The sequence below is a fragment of the Homo sapiens genome, chromosome 9 (genome assembly GCF_000001405.40).
Source record: "Homo sapiens chromosome 9, GRCh38.p14 Primary Assembly".
NCBI lineage: Eukaryota > Metazoa > Chordata > Mammalia > Primates > Hominidae > Homo > Homo sapiens.
The window spans coordinates 7,337,234-7,348,658 of NC_000009.12; the positions used below are offsets into that span (position 1 = coordinate 7,337,234).

At 38.4% G+C, this 11,425-nt stretch overlaps 2 long non-coding RNA genes across 3 annotated transcripts in view; one reads left to right on the forward strand and one right to left on the reverse strand.

Annotated features, from left to right (window-relative positions):
• The window catches only part of LOC105375970 (uncharacterized), a 42,693-nt gene extending 32,666 nt beyond the window's left edge, over positions 1 to 10,027 (forward strand). Inside the window, exons 3-5 of one of the 2 annotated variants that reach the window (XR_929460.3) lie at positions 6,032 to 6,643; positions 7,262 to 7,367; positions 9,439 to 10,027. This is a non-coding gene — a long non-coding RNA (uncharacterized LOC105375970). Of the gene's footprint in view, positions 1 to 6,031; positions 7,368 to 9,438 lie in introns of both variants that reach the window. The other variant, XR_007061414.1, reaches the window with a different exon arrangement.
• On the reverse strand, positions 7,469 to 8,902 carry LOC102723994 (uncharacterized). The gene is made up of 3 exons (XR_428445.4): positions 8,686 to 8,902; positions 8,307 to 8,507; positions 7,469 to 7,818 (listed from the first exon to the last, which is right to left on the reverse strand). It is a non-coding gene; the product is annotated as an uncharacterized LOC102723994 (long non-coding RNA).
• Positions 10,028 to 11,425: the final 1,398 nt, after the last annotated feature.

The following is an 11,425-nucleotide window of genomic DNA, read 5'->3' on the forward strand; positions in this document are numbered from 1 at the left end:
TTTTACATAAAAGGCTTGCCTATGCCTCTGTTATGCCATCCCAAGATATCTGTACCTGCGTCAGGCTGCAGGATATTCCTGTGGCTCTCTCAGGTCTCCCCACTGGAGGCTCCTGTCCACCTAGACCACACCTACAGTGATGCCCTGATGAGAAAGGATCACTTTTGGTATGTCTGTGTTCCTGAGAGAGAAAAGGCAAGAGGAAAGGAGGGGAATTCACAGCTAAATTTTAGGTGAGACAGAACAATGGAGGAGGGTAATATAAGGATGGGAAGTATATGAGATGTGAGAAGCAAAACCGTCCCTGACCCAGCTGGCTGGGTAGCAGAGGCTGTGAGCTTAATGGAGGAAAAGATGGTGAATGTCCTTCCAGTTCAACAGGGAGGGCAGAAAGCTGAATGGGGAGTTTTTAAAGGAGAAGGTAGATGGTCTTGGAGAGGCCTAAATACCACTTGACTCTGTTAAAGATACTTGGAGAATATAGATTATACTTAAAAAGAGCAAAGCTGTACAGGTCAGGCTTTGGCTCAGGGGAGAGGAACGAGAAGGGCAATGCCAGAGATCAACAGCCTTGGAAACAAATGCTTTCCAGGCAGCCGAAAGGCATGATCAGAGAATAAGAAATGAAGCAGAGAACTGCAAAGGGTAGAAACTCCTAAAACAGAACTGGAGGAAAATGGAGATGGGCCAGTGAAACCACAGCATCCAGCAAAAGGTCAGGAGATGGGGGTTGCAGGTATACATGACGAGGGTTTAACAAAATGCATTCATTTTTATTGTGAAATCGTTCAAACCCTTTCAAATCTCTTTTGAAATTTCAGAAGAGATTCCTATTTCATCTTTCTTTCTGAATATACATATTCATTTCTCTTTTGCCAAAATATCCAAAATAAGTTTGCAGACATCACCAGTTACCCATAAGTACAACCGTGCATACCTGTCAAGAACAGGGGCAGATTATGAGACTAAAGCTCATGACTGCACCTGAGAAAAAATTACTATCTCAATTGCATTATCAACAGAGTCGAAACTCAGATTTTCCCAGTTGTTCCTAAGTGGCTGGTTTTCCCCCCCTCCACTCCCAATCCAGGAATTAATCAAGGCTCATGCACAGCCTTTGGCAGTTATGTCTTCTTAGTCTGCCCTGATTTAGAAGAGACCCATTTCTTTCCTTTGTTTTGCCTTATTTTAAGGTCAATTTTATTGAGGTATAATCTACATAATTATAAAAATACTTAAAAGCTTACTCTTTAATATACAATTCTGTGAGTTTTGACAAACACATACAATTGTGTTAGTACCATCACAGATTAGAAGCCTAGATGTAGAACAGTTTCATTACCTTCCAAAAGTCCTCATGTCTTCCTGCTGTCACCGCCTCCTCTAAACTCAGTCCCTGATAACCAACATTCAATTTTCTGTTCCTATAGTTTTGCCTTTTCCAGAATATCATATAAATGAAATCATACACCCTCTGGCCTTTTGAGTCTGGCTGATTTCATGTAGCATAATGCATTTGAGATTCATCTATGTTCTTACATGTGTTAGTCATTTGTTCCCTTTTATTGTTGAGTGTTATTTCACTGCATGAATGTAGCACAATTTGCTTATCTATTCCTTAGTTGAAAGACATATGGTTTGTTTTCAGTCTAAATGATTAAGGGTAAAGCCATAATAAACATGCAGTTTAAGTTTTTTAGGTGAGCGTATGTTTTCATTTCTCTTGGGTAAATACCTAGGAGTAGATCTGATGCATGCTATGGTAAATATACGTTTGCATTCGTAAGTAACTGCCAAAGTGTTTTCCTAAGTGATCGTACCATTTTGCACCCAAACACACAGCCATTTGCTTTGTTCACTCTGCAGAGCCTCTAAGTAGTCGTTATCTGTGTGAGAGTTGATCTATCAGTTTACTCCATCATGTCAGAAGGGGAACACTGCCTTATCTTAATTAATATAATTATACTATCCTGAAAGCTAGCCTAAAAGTGTGATGCTACTGACATTTTAAAGTCTCAGAGCTGGAGATTTTTGAAGGGACCTAGTGTAACTTTCCTATTTACTAATGAGGAATTGGAGGCCCCTTGATATTAAATGTATTTATCAATTCATTTAACAAACGTTTTTTAAGCACTTACTATGTGCCATAGTCTGTGCTGGGTACTGGGACAGTAGAGATGACTGGCCCCTTAGTCTCCAGCCATTGGAAGAGCGGGCTTGGATTTTAGTTTTCCACTTTCTAGCTCATTGTTTTTCAGCTACTGCTGAGGAGAATGAGAGAGAGTGAAGGGGAGAAGAAGCCCCCACAGCCTAGACTGTGGCCATGAAAAGGACCAAATTTTGGCAGCCTGAACCAGACACTGAACTACAGCAGCCTTAAGTTTTCACAAACTTTTTCTGCTAGGATCCTGGGGAATTGAGCCATATGTATAGAAAAGCTTCTCTAGGATCACTGTTGGTAGAGTGAAAGTGTGAGAGGTCCCTAAACTACACCAACATTCATCTTGGGGAGATCTCACTGAAGATGCCCATTGAAGAATGGCAGGCTTGAGGGTGATAGAGTTAGTGCAAAGTGCAGCAAAAAAATTGCCTGGCTATACACGTTTATTTCTTGGGCCTTGCCTAAGGAGTAACTGCCAGGTTGCCTCTCCTAGGCCTGTAGATGACTTCGTGCAGCCATGAGCTGCTGATCTTCCTGAGTACTTACTGCCACATGGCTGGCTGTGGCTCCCTGCAGGCAATAAATAAACCCTCTTGGATATGGGAGTGGTTGACTTGGTTGCATTTGATTTCTTTTCTGTAGGGAGACTTAGGAATTGGCTCTGTGAAAAACGGAGAGAAAGAGAGGGGTAGAGACAGGAGAGTTTAAACCTCTTTGTCGGGCATTTTCAATTATTCATGGAAAATCTATACACTCTGTTATCAGCTCTAAGCAAAGCAACTTTGTTGTTTCTATTGATCATGCAATTTATTATCTTTATTTAAACTCTTCAGGCAATAAATAAATAAAAAGCAGTTTGAGGGAAAGAAGCTTCTCTGGAGAAAGTAATTTTCCAGGAAAGTAGTTTAATCCTTTTAAAATTAGGCTTACCGACTTAAAGATATTATCTGATTATTCCATTTGATTCCCCTTTAAAAATGATACTGGTCTAGTTCCATTTGATTCCCCTTTAAAAATGATACTGGTCTAGTTTTCTCTTTTAGCTAAAACGTTTTCAAGTTTCACTTCTTTTCTCACCAAACCCTCCATTATACTCATACATTAATCTTCAAAGAAAACATAGTAAAATATATTACAACCAGAAATAAGACAGTTTCTACAGTGTTGTTTCTCTATCACTTGCTGGTGAATATAATTTACTAAATCTCTTTAAGTCTGTCATTGGTAAAACTGGGACACCAATGTTTGCACTTTCTACTCTATGGTCAAATATGAAGATTACACAAGATGACAATGATGATGAAAACACTTTTGTGTAGTGATTCACTGTTCATTACATTATTTAACATTTATCTTTTCTCTAGATCTTCTGATACCAAATCCAGCATTCTTTACCAGGCAGCATATGTAGTATGATAAAATTAGAGCGTCGAATGAGATAATCTCTAAGTTCCTTTTCAGATTTAAAATTCTGTGATTTTATTACAGCTTTTCATAGAGAGTTGTTTTCAAGCTGGAGACTCTCAATGATTTCTCTTGGGGCTCCCCTTGAATCCTGGGTAAAATGGTCACTTCTTGGGCAAGTGAGAATTTTACCAGCTTCACAGGTTCTCGGCCTCCCTCTGTAGGTCTGCTTGGCTGCCTCCAGGTCCTCGAGTGCCTGTGTGTGTGTGGCAGACTGCTGTGCTCTTCCTCATGCACCTCATCATTCTGTCCCTGTGCTCTGCGTTGCATTCATGTGCCGCACCTGCTGCCATGTCGACATTCTTCTTGTTCATTCGTCTGTGCCTCCTGGCCTCACTCTCCATGGTTATGCTATGTTGCTGTTTCTGTTCTTACACTTACTCTTTCCTTTGCCCTTACTAGATAAGTGTTCCTAAGTTTTCTTCATCAGTGAGAAATTCTTGATTTCTGAATTGAATCCCTTTTATTTAAAAAAAGACAAAAATATGTCTCTTTCCTAATACCAACATTGGTTTGCTCCCCTAGGGTAATTCACAGGAACTTTAATAGGTTTTTGTATGGGCATGAGAAAGGCAACAGGTGAAGATCTAGTTTTCTGGGGGGATGTATGTGTAGTTACAATTACGTTCTTTACCCTTAGGAATACAACATGATACCCTCCCCCCCCAACCAATATATGCTTATGCTTAATATCCTCCTAAAAGCTTCTTTTTTATATTATTATTTTTAATTTTCTTAACTTAAAAAATGTTTGCAACAAAAGCCACATTCAAATAAAGCCTCTGTATTTTTATCTTTATTTTTCAACTGCTTTTCTTATTCTAGGGCAATATAGGTGCTTTTTAATTTAAATGTATCTTAAACCAAAATTCTCATGAAGCTTAGTAATAAGTGACAGTGCTAACCACAGGAAGGCATGGCACACTTGCATGCAAAGGCAGTATGGGGAGGTTGAAAAATCATGGGTTTTGGAGTTAGGTAGATAGATTTGAATCTTGGCTCTGCAACTTACTAGCTTTGTTAGCTTGGAAAAGTTATATTTAGCCTCTCTGTGCTTTAATGTTCTTATCTCTAAAATTGGGTGATAATAATAATAACAATCTCATCGATTCATTTTGATGGCTAAGAAACTTTGCCTGTGAGCAAGCTACTAACTTAATTCATGGTGGAGGAGAATTAGTTGCCATAGGATCAATTAGAGCTGACTGAGTATATAGTGAACAAGGACAAAAAAAAAGGAAAGGAGTGGGAAAATGAAGAACAGAAGAAGGCAGTAAAGAAACTCTTCAGCCTTCCAGAATATATCCATGATAGAAAGTCACTGAGGACAGCCCAGGAAGGACAGATTATGGTCTTTTACACTCTGAGACCTGGGCCAGTTCATCGGAAGGGAACTTTGAAAGAGAGAAAAGGGAGGGCCAAGCTGAAAGACTGGATCAAAATGGAGCAAAGCATGGGCAAAAAGAGGAGGAAGAGGGAGAGAACAATGAAAACAGATGAGCAGAGAGGAAAGAGGAACTAAGAAATTCTCTGTGGCTTTTTGGGTCCAGAAGAGGGAGCTGGAGGCAGAAAGTGAGATATTTGTTGAAATGGAAAAATTGTTTTATAGCTTTTCAGGAAGAGGCTATGCTGGACCCATGAAATATAAATGCATGAGCTGATATATTCATGTAATAAGGAATTTGGGGTGAGCTGTAATTTAACAGAGGAGCAGTTTATTTTTAGAATCTCTCACAAGAGAGATTAACTGTTGAGGGAATACTGTGAAAATGTTACTTGGGCTAATGACCTAAATAACCCATTTATTCTCTTTAAGAATAGGGGGCAGATGAAGGAGATGTGACTTGATTACTATTCTAATGAATGTAGTGCTTAAATTTAGCATTCTTTCTAAGAAGTGTGAAAGAGGACTCTGATAGTGAACAGATGAGGTTAATCGTCTGCCAAATGCCTTTCATTTATGCATAGCACAGGGTTTTAACCAGCGCAGGGGACAACCAAAAACACTTCACCCACATGGATTAAGTGATTTTCTGTACATGACATAGCTAGAGGCAACTGTTCTGTAAAGTGAACGAGAATGGCTGCTTAGGGGCACTGAGGGATAAAGGACTCCAGTTATCACCGTGAATGGACTAAAGTGGGATTGCAAAATACTCCATTGTTGTATGTACATAGGTTCCTGCTTCAGTCACAGAGTGCATAGAGTACAAAATAAAGTCTCTTTAAAACAAAAAGAAGAAAATCAGTGAATCTCATCCACGGGTTTGTGAAAAGCCCATTCTTCTCTTGTTAAGTACAAGAACTTTTAGGTATTTCTTTACTCCAGCGGGACCATAAAACTAGAAAATCTGAGCAGATTACCCAAAGTCCCCATTTTATCTTTTTGTTTCTATCTTTGCCCAGGCCCCTGAGTTTCTGGCAGTTACAGTCAGGGCCCTCTGCTGAAAGAAGCATCATGGAAACCTGGACACACATGAGAACCGGCCTTCCACGCAGGCAAGAAGCAGAAACTGAGGCTCCTCCTTCTCCATCATGAGGAATGTCTTCTGGAAGGCCCTCTGTTGACCTCTCTTGAGAGATGGCTTTGGTCTGGGTCACCCTGGGCCATCAGTCATATTCTAATAATTTGAACCTTAAAAAGAAGGGGTTCTGGTTTCTGTTTCCTCTTTTTGTGTCCCATATAAATTTCAGATGCGGACAGATGTATAGGCATGGGGCCTTGGCTAACTGCACTCACGACTCTTAGCCAAATTAATGAAGGATAATACTAAAGAGAACAAAACCCCCAGGGTATTACATATGGATTTCAAATTCCAGAATGAGTGCGAGATAAGGGAAATGATGTAGTATTTAAGACAGAATCTCAAATAAGAGCCAACCAATACTGCCCCAGCCCTTGACCCGAGTTCTAATTTCTCCTTTTGCACATGGAAAGGGAGAAAGAAGAGGAGCATGTGAGTGGTTTGAAGTACCCTGCCATTCCTTACACATCTGGGCAAAACTCATCATAATAAGGTAAATCAGTTAACGTCAAAATGCATCAAAGAGAAAATGCAGCAATTCCTACTAGATTCAATTTTTCAATTTTCATATAAGAATTAAAGCTAAATATTGACAAAGGAAATTTATTTCTTGCAAATAATTGGGGTTGAAGCTTTTATATGGGGTCAATGATTCATAGGTTACAATATGGCTGAGTTGGAAGGTATATGATCATGGATGTCAACTATGGAGGAGAAAATGTTGATTTGGGAGTTTATAGTTCCACAGAAGAAACATGAAAGAAAAAATATGTAGCCAGAAAAGGTGACATTACAAAGGGATTTTTCCACTGTAGTTCATGAAAGATAATAGACTTGGAAATACCAGAAAGTTGCTTGTGTCTTTAAACATTTAGTAAACATATAAGAATGTAAAATAATTTTCTTTAAAAAGGTACATTAATAATCTGGGTCAGAATTATAAAAATTAAAATTAAGAAAATTTACCCTTTAGAAAGAAGGGGAGTGGTGAAATGGAAAGTGAAATATTATATCTTTTGCAATGGTGCTCTCTAATTACTAAAATTAATTTCTCAGAAGTTGGGAGATCTGGCAGAAATCCATAAATATAAACAATTTTTTGTTTGAAAAGGAAGAAATGAAAATTGAGACGGAGGCTGAAGGAGGAGCCCTGATTCTGTTTTCGGCTATCCACAGGATGGGACATTTTATGAAAGGATTCAAAGGAAGCTTTCAAGGTGAGGGGTAGACTCAGTGGCTTTAAGGAGTAAAATAGGTATTCTGAATGTAGCAGAAATGAGAGGACACATAAAGAGGAGACAAACAAACCAAACAAAGACAAAGGTGAAGACAATGGAGTAGGAATAGAGGAAATTCAAGGACAGATGAGAGGAGTCTTCCAGTCTGAACCAGAGAGTTGTGTGAGACAGGTCAGGCAGCCCTCAGGGAGGGCAGGGGTGCAGCCAGGGAGGGGTGGAGGAAGGAGGGGAGGACTTACAGATGAAGGTGATGTGGAAAGAGAAATGGCTGATCATAGAACTGTGTCGAGATCCTGGGAAGTCAAGGGGGAAGGTGGAGAGAGACAGAGAGGGATGGGGGCTGTGTGATGTGATAGAGAACTGAGTGTTCACCATAAATCAATGAAGCAGCAATCTGGCAGCAGCAGGTATCACAAGGGATGGAGATAACCTGGAGGGATGGAGATAACCGAGTTATTGAGGTGCAGGATACGCGGGAGCTTCATTCTCAGAAGGTTTTGAGAATTGCCTGAACTAATCATTGACTGTTGCTGTTAATGCTACATGGGAACAGTGCATTACTGCCAATGGAGAAAAAACAAGGAATATAAAAGTTATATTGTTAAAGGGTGGAAGGAGATCAGAATTAGACATTTTTTATAAAGGTCTCTAAGATGTTATTTATTTTAATAAGCTATGAGGTGTAAATGAGATAATACATGTAAGATACTTAGAACAAGGCTGAGCACATAATAAGTGCTCAATAAATGTTACTGTTATTTGAAATGTCATTATTTTATAAAACTGTATGAGGCTTTTGTTCTTCAATGAAGTATTTTCTCTTTTAAAACTTATTTTATTTTATCTTTATTTTTTAGTAAGGCTGCCTTCATCCTTGCCATGGATGACACAGACTCCTCCAATAAAATATTTTCTTACCTTTCTCTTTTCTCTCCTCTCATGGCTTCTTGTAGATTCAATTTAATTAGATGTTTCCTTTTCCATTGCATATAATAACAGAAGAAAAAGCCCAGGAGAATTGCAAAAATCTTGTCATTAGTGAGAGTAGACCTCCATCATCATTTATTGAAATTTATTTTTGAAACAAGTTTTGCAACAATAACACAGCCCTAAGATGCACTGTAAAGAAGAAATTTAAGAAAATGAGCTGTGGTATTAGATAGATTTGGGTCTGAATCCTGGCTCTTCATTTTACTAAGTCTACATTCATTCATTAGGAGTTTGACTTTTATAAGTGTAACATTCTTCTTTACAACAGATATAACAATATAAGTTACCAAGAAAAAGTGGTACATACCTCATAGCGTTGTCTTCAAAATCAAGTGAGACCATCTGATATTGCTTTCACCATCCTCCTTTCCAGGAATGGCCTCTTCTAGCCTGCCCCCATTGCAGTCAAAGATTGGACCAATTGCAGTTTCCAGGACATCTGGCTAAAATTAATCAGTCCAAGTTTGAGCACTGGGTGTGGCCCAACCTGGGCCAATCATAGCCTTCCTCCAGGAGTTTTTGAATATTAATTGAAAAAGTGTGTGGAGGAGATCCTTTTGTAGTGAGAAAAAATAAAGCTAATACATGGAGAAAAAGACAAAACTTTGGGGGAAGAGAAGATCAAACAGAAAGTAAATGTGGTGCAGATCCGTTTTTAACTGTCTGTGATTCCTTAAATTCTACAGAACTCTGATCTGCTCACTTTTGTGATTCTCAACTTAATGAGCTCCACCCTGATGCAATTCAAAGCAATGGCCTTAGACGAAGAAGCACTGGCTCGGTTCGTATCTTTGCTCCCGGCTGTATTCTTTACAGAGAAAGTACTGTGTTCATTGAGCTGAGGCCTGAGCAGTCAAGCTTTCCTATAACTGTGATCTTTACTCCTTCTAAGGTTTAGTTTCAGTGTCTATGCGTTGGCTTGGGGTAGAGAATTTGGTTTCTTGAAATTTGAAAGGCTCAAAATTATTGGACTTTTGGGTAACTGAAAGACCCTTTATTAGCAAAGTTGTATTTTCTTTACTCTTTTATACTGGATATTAAACTTATCTCTTTCTTACAGTACCTCACCGAAAGCTGCAAGAGATTGCCAAAACATGCCAAAATCTGAAATTTTCACATTTAAAAAAATACCTTAGTTTTGGTGACTACATTTTATAAGTCCAAAGGTACACCAGGCAAACATCTAGCCACATATTTTGCATCTATGTGACAAGAGTTATAAACTAACCCTCTGGAGAGACAGGGATCCTCAGATCCTTCCATCCTCCTCCTCCATCCTCCATCCTTCAATCAGCTGATTCTACATTTAAGAGCAGACTGATGTCAGCTTCCAAGTTCCAGAAGTGAATAAGATAGGGTTCTAAAGTGGAAGTGATGAAAATCAATTCTGGCTTATTTACACAGAAAAGAGTTGCATTCAAGAGGTATTGGGGAGCTCAAACAATTGTTTCGAGGATTAGAGAGCTGCGCAAGGGAGCCTGGGAAGGTGAGTACAGTTGACCCTTGAACGACATGTTTTGAACAACGTGAGTGTGAACTCCATGGGTCCACTTACACAAGGGTTTCGTCAGCCTCTGCCACCCCCGAGACAGCAAGACCAACCTTTCCTCCTCCTCTTCCTTAGCCATCTCAATGTGAAGATGATGAGGATGAAGACCTTTATGTTGATCCACTTCCACCTAATGAACAGTAAATACATTTTCTCTTTCTTATGGTTTTCTTAATAATATTTTCTTTTCTGTAGCTGGCTTTAAGAATACTCTCTCTCTCTCTCTCTTCCGATATATATTACACATACCATAAAAATATTTGTTAATAGACTGTTTATGTTACTGGTAAGGCTTCTGGTTAACAGTAAGCTATTAGTAATTACGTTTTGGGGGAGTCAAAAGTTATATGTGGATTTTTGACTGTGGGGGGGCAGTCAGTACCCCTAAGCCTTGTGTTGTCCAAGGATCAACTGTATGTGGTATTTTAAGGCTACGGTGGAGGCAGCTTGTGTGTTCTGTTGACTCTCCATAAAAAGAAAAGTTTTCCCAATATAGGATGTGTTTCAGATGCTTGGTGGCCAAAATATGACAAATATCCAATACACAGGGCGATTGTGCTGATGAGGCACTTTCCTCTTCTTCCTTATGTTCCTATTTATTCTTGCAACAGCTTCCTTTTGTGAAGAATCTGTGTATGCCTTTTCCTTGTGACCCCAGAAACCAGACCAGCTGGATTTTACAGACGAGTAAAGCGTATTAGAGGAAAATAGGAGGGTGAAATCAGTGAAGCAAGATTCTAGGACTTTTGATTGTTTAAGAACTTGATTAACAATATCCCTTTAAATATTTCTACTAATGGAAAAAAACCTCAAAATATTTTATTTTAGTATTCTTTATGATAAAACTTTGAAGATGTAGGCAAACAGTATTTGACAACACTTTGTATTGATATATAAAGAATGCTCCTTAAAAATAAAAGTTGTAAAATAGAAAGTGTTTAAATATAGACAAGTCAGTGTAGGGAACACTATTTATCATTTAGTTTTAAATGTTTAAATAACTGCTTCCATTTCCCTAAATTCAAAGGCAACCGGTTCAATGGCTTTCATTGACTAATTTAGTTTAGTATTTCATATTATTATATGAAATATATAAAATATGGCTATTTTAATTCTTTGAAGCATACATATAGACTTCCCACTATATTAGGATGTGGCTTCCTTTCACTTTCCTTTTCTGTCACATTCCTCTGTCATCCTAATACATTGTAATTTTTGAGATTAGGTAGCCATTGCTTATATTATGACCACATAAATGCTGTCCACAGCTGAGGTGTTGGGTATTCTGTGATTTTTTAAACTTTCTTGCACAACTTTTCTTTCCTCTGAGGTTAATAATTATCTTTTATTTTATAAGTTTTTGTTATATTTATCTTTAATTCCTCCCAAACTTTTGGTGATTTGTGTAAATCTCCTCTCAATATATTTAGTTGTATTAGGCATTCTATCAATTCCATCTTTTGGAAGAAATTTCTTCTAAAGTCTTGAACCTGCTCTA